This window comes from Homo sapiens, chromosome 9, assembly GCF_000001405.40.
Source record: "Homo sapiens chromosome 9, GRCh38.p14 Primary Assembly".
In the NCBI taxonomy this organism is placed as follows: domain Eukaryota; kingdom Metazoa; phylum Chordata; class Mammalia; order Primates; family Hominidae; genus Homo; species Homo sapiens.
The window spans coordinates 31118834-31135980 of record NC_000009.12 but is presented as its reverse complement, the minus strand read 5'-3'; the positions used below and the strand labels follow the sequence as shown (position 1 = coordinate 31135980).

The window sequence follows — 17147 nt, the reverse complement described above, 5'->3', positions numbered from 1 at the left end:
TAATATAAACTCAGAGAAGTAGAAGTTTGAACTAGAATTTGAAAGAAGATGCCTGCCTTCAGGATATGAGCTCCTAACCAGTATTTGATGCTGCCTTTAAAGGTTGTTGAATTCCCATATTATCAAGCAAGATATTTTGTGCCCATATTACAGATAAGGAAATCTGAAACCTAAGCGATGATGTCATCCTCTCTTTGTTACTAAGTTATTAAATAGTACAACTGGAACTTAAACTCAGGTTTGTCTGACTCCAACGAGAGCAGCAGAGTACTGTATTACTGTTCATTTGGCTAGCTGATGTGACATATTTTGATTTGTCCAATTATTATGATGATGTTGAATTTTCTTCAACTTCATTTTCCTCCCGGGACATGATTGCAATAATGCACCAGTGCAGATGAGTCAGAAAAGTAGAAGAAAAATCATTGTTTATATAAACATTTCAGGAATCTTGAGTATAAAAATAATAATTTTAATCCCAATATTAATGATTTCCTGAAAGATTTCCAGGCAATGACAATAAGGAAAAAAATAAAGGAAATTTGCTTCACTTGACATAAAATAGATGAAAGCTGTTTAACTAGGAAAAAAACATAGGCATATAGGTCAATGTGGAAAAAAAAATAGAGAACTATAAGAAAGAAAGAAATGACATTAAACATGGTACTTTAACAAGGCTTTGAAATTAATGGAACTTACACAACCTAATAAATGATATGAGTGAACAGTTCATAGGAACAAATATAGCTAATAAAGGTAGTAAAAGTTCTTAACTTCACTCATAAATAAGTAAATACAAAAGAGATACTATTTTCAGCTCTCAGATGGCCATATATTTATATGTTTCCTAGCAGCAGTGAGGGTGAGAAAATAGGCAGGAATTCTTATATACTAGTTTTCTCCTTCTTTCTCTCTCTCTCTCTCTCTCTTTCTTTCTTTCTTTTTTGAAACAGAGTATTGCTCTTTTGCCCAGGCTGGAGTGCAGTGGCATGATCTCCATTCACTGCAATCTCCGCCTCCTGGGTTCAAGCAATTCTTGAGTCTCAGCCTCCCAAGTAGCTGGGATTACAGGCATGTGCTATCACGCCCTGTTTTTTGTTGTTGTTGTTTGTTTTGTTTTTTGTTTGTTTGTTTTGCATTTTTAGTAGAGACAGGATTTTGCCAGGTTGGCCAGGCTAGTCTCAAACTCCTAGCCTCAAGTAATCCATCCGCCTCAAACTCCCAAAGTGCTGGGATTACAGGCTTGAAGTACCACGCTCAGCTCTTACCTACTGTTTTTGTTTTGTTGTTTTGTTTTAATTTTATTTTTCTGTAAGTTATTGGAGTACAGGTGGTATTTGGTTATATAAGTAAGTTCTTTAGTGGAGATTTTTGAAAACCTGGTGCACCCATCACCGGAGCAGTATACACCGCCCCATATTTGTTGTCTTTTATCCCTCACCCCCCTTCCACCTCCCCAAGTCCCTAAACTCCATTGTATCATTCTTATGCCTTTGCGTCCTCACAGCTTAGCTCCCACATATCACTGAGAACATACGATGTTTGGTTTTCCATTCCTGAGTTATTTCACCTGGAATAATAGTCTCCAATCTCATCCAGGTCACTGCAAATGCTGTTAATTCATTCCTTTTTATGGCTTAGCAGTATTCCATCATATATGGAATATATATATATATATCGGAATATACATATATATCGGAATATATATATTTTGGAATATCTATATATATCTCAGATATATATATATATCTGATATATATGTATGTATATGTGTGTATATATATATGTATATATATATGTATGTATGTATGTGTATATATATATATCAGAGTTCCTTTATCCACTGATTGATGGGCATTTGGGTTGGTTCCACGATTTTCCTATTGTGAATTGTGGTGTTATAAACATGTGCAAGTATCATTTTCAAATAATGACTTCTTTTCCTCTGGGTAAATACCCAGTAGTGGGATTGCTGGATCTAATGGTAGTTCTACTTTCAGTTCTTCAAGGAGTCTCCGTGCTGTTTTCCATAGCAGCTGTACTAGTTTACATTCCCACAGCAGTGTAGAAGTGTTCCCTGATTGCCGCATCCACACCAACATCTGCTGTTTTTGATTTTTTGATTATGGCCTTTCTTACAGGAATAAGGTCGTATCACATTGTGGTTTTGATTCGCATTTCCCTGATCATTAGTGATGTTGAGCATTTTTTCGTATGTTTTGTTGGCAGTTTATATATCTTCTTTTGAGAATTGTCTATTGATGTCCTTAGCTCGCTTTTTGATGGGATTGTTTTTATCTTACTGATTTTTTTCCATGGATATTAGTCCTTTGTCAGATGTATAGATTTTGAAAATTTTTTCCGACTCTGTGGGTTGTCTGCTTACTCTGCTGACTGTTCCTTTTGCTGTTCAAAAGTAGTTTAATTAGAACCTAGCTATTTATCTTTGTTTTTATTGTAATCGCTTTTGGGTTTTTGGTCATGAAATTCTTTCCTAAGCCAATGTCTAGAAGGATTTTTCCTATGTTATGTTCTAGAATTTTTACAGTTTCAGGTCTTAGGTTTAAGTCCTTAATCCATCGTGAGTTGATTTTTGCATAAGGTGAGAGATGAGGATCCAGTTTCATTATTCTACATGTGGCTAGCCAATTATCCCAGCATCATATGATGAAAAGGGTGTCCTTTCCCCACTTTATGTTTTTGTTTGCTTTGTCAAACATCAGTTGACTTTAAGTATTTGGGTTTATTTCTGAGTTCTCTATTTTGTTCCATTGGTGTATGTGCCTATTTTTATACCAGTACCATGATGTTTTGGTGACTATGGCCTTATAGTATAGTTTGAAATCAGGTAGTGTGATGCCTCCAGATTAGTTCTTTTTGCTTAGTCTTGCTCTGGCTCTGCGGGCTCTGTTTTGATTCCATATGAATTTTAGAATTGTTTTTTCTAACTCTGTGAAGAATGATGGTGGTATTTTGATGGGGATTGCGTTCTGGGATACAGTTAAGGTGGTGCTAAGAGGAAAGTTCATAGCCCTAAACGCCTACATCAAAAAGTCTGAAAGAGCACAAATAGACAACCTAAGGTCACACCTCAAGGAACTAGAGAAACAAGAAAAAACCAAACCCAAACCCAGTAGAAGAAAGGAAATAACTAAGATCAGATCAGAACTAAACGAAATTGAAAAAAAAAAAACAGGAAAAAAGTACAAAAGAAATGAAAAAAAAGCTGGTTCTTTGAAAAGAATATTTGATTGATAGACCAAGAAAAGAAGAGAGAAAATCCAAATTACCAGACTGGGAAATGAAACAGGAGATATTACAACTGACACCACAAAATACAAAAGATCATGCAAGGCTACTATGAACCACCTTTACATACATAAACTAGAACACCTATGAGAGATGGATAAATTCCTGGAAATATACAACCCTCCTAGCTTAAATCAGGAAGAATTAGATACCCTGAACAGACCAATAACAAGCAGTGAGATTGAAATATTAATTAAAAAATTACCAACCAAAAAAAAAGTCCAGGACCAGACGGATTCACAGCAGAATTCTACCAAACATTCAAAGAAGAATCCTTTTGAAACATTTCCACAAAATAGAGAAAAAAAGAACCCTCCCGAATTCATTCTATGAAGCCAGCATCACCCTAATACCCAAATCAGGAAAGGACACAACCAAAAAAAGAAAACTACAGACCAATATCCTTGATAAACGTAGATACTAAAATCCTTAACAAAATACTAACTAACTGAATCCAACAACATATCAAAAAGATAATTCACCATGATTAAGTGGGTTTCATACCAGGGACGCAGGGATGGTTTAACATATGCAAGTCAATAAATGTGATTTACCGCATAATCAGAATTAAAAACAAAAATCACATGATCATCTCAATAGATGCAGAAAAAGCCATAGACAAAATCTAGCATCCCGTTATGATTAAAACTCTCAGCAAAATCAGCATACAAGAGACATACCTTAATGTAATAAAAGCCACCTATGACAAACCCACAGCCAACTTAATAGTGAATGGGGAAAGGTTGAAAGCATTCCCTCTGAGAACTGGAACAAGACAAGGATGCCCATTCTCACCACTCCTCTTCAACATAGTACTGGAAGTCCTAGCCACAGCAATCAGACAAGAGAAAGAGATAAAAGGCATCCAAATCGGTCAAGAGGAAATCAAACTGTCCCTGTTTGCTGACAATATGATCGTTTGCCTTGAAAACCCTAAGGACTCCTCCAGAAATCTCCTAGAACTGATAAAAGAATTCAGCAAAGTTTCTGGATACAAGATTAATGTAAACAAATCATTAGCTCTTCTATACACCAACAGTGACCAAGAGGAGAATCAAATAAAAAACTCAACCCCTTTCATAATAGCTGCAAAAAATAAATAAATAAAATACTTAGGAATATACCTAACCAAGGAGGTGAAAGACCTCTACAAGGAAAGCTACAAAGCACTGGAAGAGAAATCATAGAAGACACAAACAAATGGAAACACATACCATGCTCATGGATGGGTAAAATCAATATTGTGAAAATATATTGTTGATTGAAGTGTGGATTGGTACAGTTATCAATGACAATCAGAAAATATCCTCTACATTTAGAAATTTCACTTGTTCTTTGACTAACAATTTCACTTCTAGAATTTTTAATGTTTGCATATATTTGAAATGCATATAAAGAAATATGAAGTTAACTGTAACACTCTGAAGAGATTTTTTAAAAAACCTTGTACACGCTGGGCACGGTGGCTCACACCTGTAATCCCAGCATTTTGGGAGGCCGAGACGCGTGGATCGCGAGGTCAGGAGATCGAGACCATCCTGGCTAACATGGTGAAACCCCATCTCTACTAAACAAAATACAAAAAATTAGCCGGGCGTGGTGGCGGGTGCCTGTAGTCCCAGCTACTAGGGAGGCTGAGGCAAGAGAATGGCATGAACCCAGGAGGCGGAGCTTGCAGTGAGCCGAGATCGCGCCACTACACTCCAGCCTGGGAGACAGAGCAGGACTCCGTCTGAAAAAACAAACAAACAAACAAACAAAAACCTTGTATACTACTTCATTTATATGTGGGTTTTTGGTTTAATAAAACAAAACACCAAAAACCCATATATAGGGTGAAGTAATATACAGTAAATAAGATATATTCACAACCTAATGTTAGTTGTTCTTTATAAAGAAAAATGTTAGCTCAAATGTGCTTATATATAGCCGTCTATATACTACACAGTATGTGAACAAAAACACCCAGCAAAATGTACAAACACGTATAGTATTTTTTCACGTTACACACACACACACACACACACACACACACACACACACACACAAATACACAGCCTGTCCAGAATCAAGACAACAGAAGTAAAACTGAGGCAAATCTAATTTTGATAATTTAGATAAAAGTAAAAATGATAAATGGGATGAATGTATAGAGATCAAGTTTCAGCAGAAGAGGTGTGTCAATATCAATCCTGGGATAAAATATTTTACTTAGATTACAATGAGAGATTCTTCACCTGGCTAGCTAGGGTGGTTTAATTGTTATTTTAATCAGTATAATACATGCACACTTAAAAAATCATGCCACTACTGCTACAAGCCTAAACTAAGTTCAGCAAGCTTTAAACCTTCCAGTCTGCCCTGCTGCCCAGAGGCAATCCCTAAAATAATTTTAGTGATTACTTTTACTAGTTTTCTCCATATTTTAATATGTATATAACTACATTTTTAACCAGTTTTAGACATTACATTTTATCTTGTAGTGCGTGAAAATTTTAACATTCTTAGATCTGTTGTTCTTGCATTTTCTTTTCTCTTTTCCTCCTCAAATTAATCAGACAGACACAAGTGACGTTTTCATACCTCTGGGTTAAAATCTCAGTGGGAAGATTAAGTGGGAAACAGCAGGGATTGAGAAAACTTCAGGGGAAGGAAGGACTATTGCTTTCTTTTCCATGAACAACTCTTAAAGGATCAAGGTAGTCTCTCAATATTTGTTGAATTCGTCACAGTAAAACTGACAGCTCAAGATGAATAGGCAGAAGGAGAACTTGAGCTAAATTTCTCAGAGCCTCCTTCAAGTCTCTGAGGTGCTCAAGGTATCAACAACAGTATTTGTTGCATATAGGGACTCAGAAGTTTTCAGATGTGAGGCTCTCAATGACGTTGCTGCAGTAGGAGCAAAGTGACCCTGATTACAAGGGTTATAAAGAAGAATACTGAGACAGCAGGTGGAATGGGAATCTAAGCTGGATCTCAGAGGAATCTGCAGCTCTGAAGAGAGCTGAGTAAGATCAATAGGGAAACCAACAGAGTATAAACATTTTTTTGCCCTGAAAGATCTGAGAAAAAATAAAACTTGAAGTGACCAAGGTAGCCTTAGCTTTCCCCTCAGCTTGAATAAACTTTGGACAGATTGTTTCCTGACTGTAGGCTCCAGATCTCCCTTCTTTAAAGCACTTCCTTTAGAAAACTCACACTTATAAATTCTTTTTATACCCTTTGAGGTATAAGTGTTCTTCTCTCAGTCACCGGCCAGTTTTACAACCCAGGAATGTTTTTCTCAATGACCTGGCAGCCCCACTTTGTAATATAATTCTCAAGAAAGATTGCACCCCTAACTCACAGTCTTTGAGAGGGTAGGAGCCTGACTTTGATAAAGTCCAAAGAGCAAATGTACATGGCCTAATCATATTGACCAACCTACCACATTGACCCTCCAGTACTTTCTTACTAGGTCACCTAGAACTTAAAAATTATCCTGCCTTGAGCTGAGTCAGGCAGCTCATGCCTGTAATCTCAGCAACTGGAGAGGTTGAGTCTGGGGAATTGTTTGAGGCCAGGAGTTCAAGTCCAGCCTGGGAAACATAGAGAGACCACATCTCTAAAAATATTTGTTTAAATAGGCAGGCATGTCAGCATGTACCTGTAGTCCCAGCTGTTCGGGAGACTGAGGCAGGAGGATCCCTGGAGCCCAGGAGTTTGAAGCTGCAGTGAGGCATAGTTGAGCCACTGCCCTCCAGCCTGGGTGACAGAGCAAGACCTAGACTCTAAAAACAAACAAACAAACACACACACACACACAAACAAAAAAACAAGAAAACAATTCTGCCTCTTGTTTCAATGTTTCTTCCCTATTGCAATGGTCTCAACCCCGTTTTGCAATTGTCTTGAATAATCTATTTTGTGGGTTTAACTCCCACCAGTGAGATTTTTCTTTGACAGAGGTCACAACTGCAAAAATTAGCACAGAACTCCCAAATGGTGAGTGTCAGCTGGTCACAGGATATAAGCATAGATACCAGAGGAACTGAATAGAGTTCACGGACCTGTACACATATAAGTGAGACTTCCTGAGCACCACTGGGTAACCCCTCTATTCCTTATACACAGGTATTCCATCTTGAAGAAAAGAAGCAAGAAAGGAAGAAAATATAAACAAATGACTATTTCCTCCCCCTCAAAGAAGTTGAATTTAAAAAGGTAATTTTATTTTATTGGAGTGAATTATTGGATTGGGTTTAACGTAGTTCACCCTTCCTATTTATGTGTTTCCATCCCCATGGCTGTGCAGTAGGATGAAGTTTTCTGATAAGACTATAAGACAAATCATAGAAATACAATATATCTACATTGTGTGTATACATGTGTGTATAAATTTACAAACCTATTGAGTAATTACAGCATTATATTGTTAACATTTAAAGTAAAATGCAACATTAAGCCTAAAATATAAAAATATTTAGTTTTTTAAAACAAATTTTATGATTGCATTCCATGGTTAATCTCTATGAATAAATTGCTTCAATTGCTAAAAATGATGGAAATGTTTATTGATTAAATAAAAAGGGGTGTTGCCTTTCTATGCCTCACAGAACACTTACAATAATGGTTTTCTCATAGCTGTCCTGAAAATTGTAATGAATATAAATAAAATTAATGGATCATGATATTACTATTTTTTTGTTATTGACAATTTTACTACATATTTTACAATTTTATTGTTAAATAATTTCTCACAAGCTTAAGTTAATGTCTAGAGGTTCAAATTAGAAACTGTTACGAAAATTTCTTTTTTTTATAGGGAAGACATTATATAAAATATTTGGTAATACCACAATTTTTTTTTTTACTTCAAAGATGCAGAAATTATTCAGCATTTTCTAGACTTAACTTCAAGAAGGTGGGGGGCATGGCAAATATTAGATCCCCAAAGATATATGTGTTTCTTATTGGTATACTTATATAAAATAAATCCACCTTATCAATGGAGGAAGTAAAATAATTCACAAATAATAGCATGTGTTTGCCATGGCACACAGTTCTCCATCAGAGTTATGTTGCTAACTTAAGTTCAAAGCATGAATGGTAAATGACTCTCTTGGGGATTGAGTACAAATAATATAATGACATTTTACTTTCCATTTGAAACCACAAATCACTTTCCTCTTCATATTGACATGTAATTTCTCAATGCCTATTGCTCTAGCTATGCTCTGGGAGTCACTTATTTAATCATTCACTTATTTATTAAACAATAAGGGAGCAGATCCTATGTGCCAGAAATCTGTTCAGAGGCTGGAGATGCAAAGAGAAAAAAAAATACAAGTTTCCTACTTTAAGTTGCAATGAGCAACGATAACCAATGAGAACGGGCTGTTTCCATATAATATGTACAATGATAGAAAGCTAAATATGGCATCATATGAGCTCTAAAACAAGTGTTTGCCTCAGACAGTGGTATCAAACAGATCATCTTATAGGAGGTAATGCTTGAGCTACATCTGAAAGGATGGTTAAGAGTGCTATGAGGGGAAAGCCAACTTACTTAGTATTATTTAATTAACTTTGGGTTGTTTTTTTATATAGGGTGAAATAAGCATACAATTTCATTCTTTTGCATGTGGTTATGCAGTTTTCTCAACACCATTGGTTGAAGAGATTGTCTTTTCACTATTGTGTGCTCTTGATTACTTTGTTGAAGAACAATCAACAGCAAATATGCAGATTTATTTCTATTCTCTCTATTAGGTTCCATTGGTCTATAATTATGTTTTTATGCCAGTACCATACTGTTTTGACAAATATAGCTTGGTAGCTTATCTTGAAATCAAACTGTGTGATACCTCTAACTTTGTTCTTTTTTCTCAAGATTGTTTTGGCTATTTGGAGTCTTTTGTATTTCCATATGAATTCTAGAATTTTTTTTATTTTTGTGAAAAATGCCATTGGAATTTTGATAGAGGTCGCATTGAATCTATAGATCATTTTGAGTAATAAGAACAAGTTAGCAATATTAAAGCTGCTTTGCCTATGGGATAACCATTTTTTGTTTCTTTGCTTCTATAATAATTTTGCTTTCAAAAATATTAATACTTAGCATTTAAGAAAATGAAGGTATACAGGCCCCTAAAAGCATACTATGTGCATAATGGAAATTAGTTTAAGTCCATTATTATTGTAACAAAAAGTACAGGGCACAAGAAGGGAAATACTGACCTAGAAAGTAAAGAGAGACTTATTTGTCAATTGTCACATGTCTTGTTCAGGAAGCTTCATTTTCTTCTACAAGAAGTGGTCATCCTCTAATATATCTTGTGTGTGTGTATATCTTTTATATATATAAAAAATTTTTTTTCTTTTGAGACAGAGTCTTACTCTGTCTCCCAGGCTGAAGTACAGTGGTGCAATCTTGGCTCACTGCAAACCCCACCTCCCGGGTTCAAGCAATTCTCCTGCCTCAGCCTCCCAAGTAGCTGGGACTACGGGAGCATGCCACCATGCCCGGCTAATTTTTTGTATTTTTAGTAGAGACGGAGTTTCATCGTGTTAGCCAGGATGGTCTCAATCTCCTGACCTCATGATCTGCCCGCCTCGGCCTCCCAAAGTGCTGGGATTGTAGGCATGAGCCTTTGTGCCTGGCCTATATAAAACTTTCATAGACATATTGGAAAATGGGCTTGGCTGCCAGAAACAGAAAAAGGGGTGGAGGGGAACAAATGTCCTGAGAAATGGTGTCAATGGCGAACAACTCACTAGTATCCAACCATCCTGTTACAAGCACCCAGCTGATAGCCCACCTATACTCAAGCATCCTGTCTGCAAGCATTCAGCCTAAGCAGCAAAATCTTATAAAATTTTCCTCCAAGCTCTGCCTCTTTCCAGAAAGCCTTCCCTCTGCTGTCCTGCCCATTGCTCTTTTGCAATGTATCTCTGGCTTTCCTCTAAATAAATCTATCTTTCTAAACTCATTTTTGATATGGTCAATTCTTTTACCACCCATGTGCCGGTCTCAGACAGTCACTGACCACAACATTTTGGTGGCCCTTATGGGGACCTCTTACCCTATGAAAAATCTCTCCCTACAGGAACACTCTCCCCACTCCCTTTCTACTTGGGATACTCCATGGACAGTGTCAAGGCACAGAGACAATGAAGGTTTCTGGTCAGGGCTACACGTGGTGAAGCTGAAAAGTGTTCGTGCAGAAGTGCCTTACCACCATCACCCATTCAGGTGAGGAACCTAAGTTCACTTTCCTTTTTCAGCATGCCAGCAGCCAGCCTCTAGTAGCTGTCTTATAATTGACAGTATCTGTCCCATACTACTCTCTGATGTTGCCTGAAGGCTATGAGGTAAACAGTGCTAGCCAACTGGCCCAGAAGGGAGGAAGACTCTCCTTTCGGTCCCCAGTCCCTAGGTGTGGTGCAGTTAGCAGTGGCAGCTCATCTAGGGCAAATCCACCCATGTTTTGGGTGACTTAAACACTCTCTCTCTCTTATTCTAATTCTGCTGTGAAGATATCCAGGCTTCCTGCTTTAGAAGTTCCCACATCAGGTGATTTCAAGTGGCCTCAGAGTCTTCCCATTCCTGTTCCCTCTTTTAAGCTGGTTCCAGTCTTGAGTTCTCCCTTCACCCTTGTTCCTCGTAAATGGACTGGCCATCCAGTGTAAGGCCCCGGCACTGTCAACCCCAGCACCAGGAGATCCTTCAAATAGGTGGGATGCCCCTTAGGAAAGTGCATCTCAGTGTCCCTAAGCAGAAATGAGTGGAACTTTTTTTCTTTTGGGATACCCCTAGAGAAAGTGTGGCTCGTGTCCCCAGCAGACATTAGCCCCAAGTGGTAGGACGTTTTCCAGTCCCACCACGGGAAAAACCCTGTCTATTCCTTCAAACTAATCTCTGGTTTGCATCCTAAAACATTGGGATAAATTTGGCCCCCAGACTCTCAAAAATAAATGCCTAATTGTCCTGTGTAATATGTTTTGGCCTCTGTATAAACTCCTGGATCAATTAACCTGGACTCTGAATGGGACTTTAGATTCTTAACACTCTTTTGCAACTCGATTTGCTGTGTCACAACTCTTCTAAATGGCCTGAAGTTGCTTATGTCCAGGCTTTCATGACTCTCTCTTGGGATCTTGATCTCTAGCAAACCTGGCAAATATTCTTGGCTAAATTCTCTAGCCCCACTGACTCTCCTGACATTCTAAAAGACCCTTCCTTTACCCTCTTCCACTCTCCCAGACTGGCTGACCTGGTTGAGGCTACCCCTTCTCAACCTTCTTCTTTCCCTGACAAATCACCTTTATGTTCAACTATACTTACTCCACCTGCTTTTTCTCCCTCACTTTCCCCCAACATCCCAACTTTGGATGTCATTTTTCAATGCCTCCTCCTTTTATTAGGGACCCTTCTCCCCTTCACATACTAGATCACATGGGGGTCACTTATGATCCCACTTCAGCCCAGTCAAGATTTTGCTGCTCGGAGAAATAGCAAATGGGGATTGAGGAACCATCAGAGTCCATGTTCCTTTCCCAGTGTCCAACCTCTCTCAGATAGAAGCTAAGCTTGGCTTCTTTCAGCAGGATGCTTCCCATTTCATAAAAGAATTCAAAATACTGTTTCCTTTGAACACACTTGGCAGAACATTTATATTATCTTTACCACCAGTTGTATTCATGAAGAAAAGGCCTCCATTTGGTCCCTGGCTCAAGAGTGGCCACAGGAGGTTCTTGCCCACAACCCTCAGGAGTCTGGCCTGGGAAGAACAGCAGTTCCTGATGTTGATCCTAGATAGGGCTACCAGAAGGGAAACACTGGCAGGGAACGTAGTAATTAAATGACTACTTATTTAATTGTAGGCATAAAAAAGGCTGCCATAGGACCAGTCAACTTTGCTAATCTAAAAGAGGTAACACAGGGGTCAAATGAAAACTCAGCTCTACTTCACTCTAGGCTGGCTGAAGCCGTGAGAAAATACCCTAATATGAACCCTCATAGCCCAGAAGGCCCCATTAATTTGACTGTTCATTTTATCAGTGAGGCTTCTTCAGATATTAGGTGCAAATCCCAGAGACTAGACCAAGGACCACAACTCCATTCCCCACTTTACTGGACATGGCTTTCAAGATCTTTAACACCAGAACTGTCAAAACCCTCCCCACCCATCTTCTGGCACTCAGGGACCACCGATTAGCTCCTGTCCACACTGCAAACAACCCAGGCATTGGAAATGGGATTGCCCCTCTCTCCCACACGCAGGAGAGTCATCCCGTAACTAGCAACCTCAATTATGGGCTAATTTGGGAGGATGGCAACAACAAATGCCCCTAACGGTGTTCCTTAACTACGAGGAAGCTAATAAGACTGAGAAGGCAGAAAGAGATAACTGATGGGACCCAGAGGCCATCCAGGCTCCTGTATTAACCATCTCTATGATTGAGCTTTGAGTAACCCTAAATGTGGAAGGGAATAGGACTGAGTTTGTAATCAACATAGGAGCTACTTCTTCAGCCCTAATTAGTTTTTCCGGACCTACGTTTTAGTCTTTGATCCTCCACACCAGCATAGACAGCCAACCACATCAGGGACGCTTCACTTCCCCCTTGTTATGCACGCTGGAGAAACATGTTTTCACTTACTCTTGCCTGGTTCTACCAAGCTGTCCTACCTACCTACTTAGAGGGGATATAATGACAAAACTCCAAACTAGCTTTCAATTCCCCAAATACACTTGCCCAATATTAACATTACTAGCTCCTGCCACCAAAAGTGCCAATCCCCTAAAATCCTTCATTTAACAACAAATTCTAGAGGTATGAGATACCTCCACTTCATGATGTTCTTAGTTTGCAGACCCTGTAAAAATCCATCTTAAGGGCTCTAACATTTTCCCTAGGAAGCCCCAATATCCCTTGAAGCCTGAAGCCCAAATGGACCTACAGCTCCTGATAGAGTTTGGCTATGTCCCCACCCAAATATCAACTTGACTTGTATCTCCCAGAAGTACCGTGTGTTGTAGGAGAGACCCAACATAGGGGGGACCCAGGGGGAGGTAACTGAATCATGGGGGCCAGTCTCCCATACTAGTCTTATGATAGTGAATAAGTCTCACAAGATCTGATGGGTTCATCAGGGGTTTCCACTTTTGCTGCTTCTCTCTTGCTGCCACCATGTAAGAAGTGCCTTTTGCCATCTGCCATGACTGTGAGACCTTCCCCAGCCAGGTGGAACTGTAAGTCCAATTAAACCTCTTTCTTTTGTAAATTGTCCAGTCTTAGGTATGTCTTTATCAGCAGCATGAAAACAGACTAATACAGTAAATTGTTACCAGTAGAGTGGCACATTACTGAAAATGTGGAAGCAACTTTGGAACTGGGTAATAGACAGAGATTGGAAAAGTTTGAAGGGCTCAGAAGAAGATAGGAAAATGTGGGAAAGTTGGGAACTTCCTAGAGACTTGTTGAATGGCTTTGCCCAAAATGCTTATAGTGATATGGACAATAAATCCAGGCTGAGGTAGTCTCAGATGGAGATGAGGAACTTGTTGGGAACTGGAGCAAAAGTGACTCTTGTTATGATTTAGCAAAGAGACTGGTGGCATTTTGCCCCTCCCCTAGAGATCTGTGGAATTATGAAATTGAGAGAGATTATTTAGGGTATCTGGTAGAAGAAATTTCTAAGCAGCAAACATTCAAGAGGTGATCTGGGTACTGTTAAAAGCATTCCATTTTAAAAGGGGAACAGAGCATAAAAGTTCAGAAAATTTGTAGCCTGATGATGCAGTAGAAAAGAAAAACCCATTTTTCTGGGGAGAAATTCAAGCCGGCTGTAGAAATTTGCGTAAGTAGTAAGGAGCCTAATGTTAATCCCCAAGACCATGGGGAAATGTCTCCAGGCCATGTCAGAGAGCTTCACAGCAGCCTCTCCCATCACAGGCCAGGAGGCCCAGGAGGAAAAATTGGTTTCGTGGACCAGGCCCAGGGTCCCTGTGCTATGGGCATCCTAGGAACTTGATGCCCTGTGTCCCAGCTGCTCCAACCATGTCTGAAAGGGGCCAATGTACAGCTTGGGCTGTGGCTTCAAAGGGTGGAAGCCCCAAGCCTTGGGAGCTTCCATGTGGTGTTGAGCCTGCAGGTGCACAGAAACCAAGAATTGAGGTTTGGGAACCTCTGCCTAGATTTCAGAAGATGTATGGAAATGCCTGGTTGCCCAAGAAAAAGTTTGCTGCAGGTAGGGAAACCTCATGGATAACATCTTCTAGTCCAGTGCAAAAGGGAAATGTGGGGTCAAAGCCCCCATGCAGAGTCCGTACTGGTGCACTGCCTAGTGGAGCTGTGAGAAGGGGCCTACCATCCTCCTGAACCCAGAATGTTAGATCCACCAACAGCTTGCACCGTGCACCTGGAAAAGTCACAGACACTCAACATCAGCCCATGAAAGCAGCTGGGAGGCTGTACCCTGCAAAGCTTCAGGGGTGGAGCTGCCCAGGACCATGGAAACCCACCACTTCCGTCAGCATGACCCGGACGCAAGATGGGGAGTCAAAAAACATCATTTGAAACTTTAACATTTGACTTCTCCGCTGGATTTTGGAATTGCATGGGGCCTGTAACTTCTTTGTTTTGGCTAATTTCTCCCATTTGGAATGGCCATATTTACCCAATGCCTGTATCCCCATTGCATCTAGGAAGTAACTAACCTGTTTTTGATTTTACAGGCTTATAGGCAGAAGGGACTTGCCTTGTTTCAGATGAGACTTTGGACTGTGGACTTTGGGTTAATGCTGAATTGAGTTAAGACTTTGGGGAACTGTTGGGAAGGCATGATTGGTTTTGAAATAGGAGGACATGAGATTTGGAGGGGCCAGAGGCAGAATAATATGGTTTGGCTGTGTCCCCACCCAAATCTCAACTTGAATTTTATCTCCCAGAATTCCCACATGTTGTGGGAGGGACCCAGGGGGAGGTAATTGAATCATAGTGGCTGGTCTTTCCCATGCTATTCTCGTGATAGTGAATAAGTCTCATGAGCTCTGATGGGTTTATCAGGGGGTTCTGCTTTTGCTTCTCCCTCATTCTCTCTTGCTGCCACCATGTAAGAAGTGTCTTTCACCCTCTTCCATGATTGTGAGACCTTCCCCAGCCAGGCGGAACTGTAAGTTCAGTTAACATCTTTCTTTTGTAAATTGCCCAGTCGCTGGTATGACTTTATCAGCAGTGTGAAAACGGACTAATACAGCCCCTAATAGAAAAATCAGGCACCACCTCAGCCCAGAATTCAGTACTCATTGCTCTAACTCTAGCCTTACAATTGGGAGCAGGCATGAGGCTTAAAATTTACAGACTCAGCCCATGCTTTCATGTAGTACATGCTCATGATGCTATTTGCTGGAAAAGAGGATTTTTAACAGCCCAAGATACTCTAATTAAACATGCTCCTGAATTTATGGCCCTATTGGAGGCAATTATACTTCCTACACAGGCAGTATCTTTCACTGCAAAGCCTATCAGAAGAACAATGATGAAATCTTCATTAAGAACAACGGGGCTGACAAATAAGTAAAAGTGGCAGCCAGGCTCCCCCTTCAGGCAGTTTTATTTCATACCCCAACTCCCTGTCTCTAACTTACCCTGGTTAAATTTGTTTCTTCCAGAATGCAGCAGTTGCACACCAAGCTTCTAAGGATGCAAGAGTATCAGCCAATGATACCCAGACACCTCCACGATTCTCCTTTAGACTTCGCTGGACGTCAGTTCCTTATGGACATCCTCTTCTCCCTGAGTCCCATCCTCCAGCTATGCCCAACAATTTAAGTACCATAACCCAAGACAATGACTCAGAGCATCCCCTGACAAGCCAACAACCTTAGGAATGGTCAGTTCTATGCCCAGGGTAGCAGAAAGTAGTTGGAAGATGAGACCTCTACCCAAATAGCACAGATTTGTCACTGTTGTTCTGTCAGGAGGGAAATGTGTAGCCCTAAGGAGTTAAAAGAAAATTGAAAAATGGGTTTTGCTGGCAGGAACAGAAACAGGGTAGAGGGGAGCAAATGTTCTAAGAAACAGGGTCAACCTCAAATGGCTCACTAGCATCTAAGCATCCTTTTACAAGCACCTAGCTCACAGCCCACCTGCATGCTGTCTGCAAGTACTCAGCTTAAGCAGCACGACCTTAAAAAATTTTCCTCCAGCCCCTGCCTCTTTGCAGGCAGCTTTCCCTCTGCTGTCTTGCCTACTGCTCTCTTGCAACATATTTTCCCCTTTTCTCGAAACAAATCTGCCTTTCTAAACTCATTACTGTCTTAGTAAATTCTTTTATCACCTATGTGCCGGCCTCAGACACTCAGTGACCACCACAGCATATGCATGTATTATGTATATGTATGTATCTTGTGTATATTTGTATCTTATGTATTTATGACATTATATAATCTTGCATATATACCTAATAAATATACAGTAAGTACTCACTTAGTGTCATCAATGGGTCTTGGAAACTGTGACTTTAAGTGAAGTGTTGTATAATGAAACGAATTTACTACAGGCTGATTGATATAAAGAAGAGTCAAGTTACTCCGGCATATTTCTAGTCAAAAAACATCATGAAACTTCTAAATAAAGGTGAAAGCCTTCTAATATTTAACACTGAAATAAATGGGAGCTATACATATATTTAAGAAAGATAAATAAAAGCAAGTAGGATGATTATTTACCCAATTATTTCAGTTCAGAATTGTGGGTGGCCAGAGCCTAACCAGGCAATTCGAGACACAAGAGAAACCAATCCTGGACAGGACACTATCCCATTGCAGAGTATACTCTCACACACTTCC

At 39.7% G+C, this 17147-nt stretch overlaps 1 long non-coding RNA gene across 1 annotated transcript; it reads left to right on the top strand.

The window, feature by feature from the left end:
• Positions 1-7427: 7427 nt before the first annotated feature.
• On the top strand, positions 7428-16927 carry LOC105376009 (uncharacterized). Its single transcript, XR_929539.2, has 3 exons — positions 7428-7512; positions 10398-10543; positions 15969-16927. It is a non-coding gene; the product is annotated as an uncharacterized LOC105376009 (long non-coding RNA).
• The last annotated feature ends 220 nt before the right edge of the window (positions 16928-17147 follow it).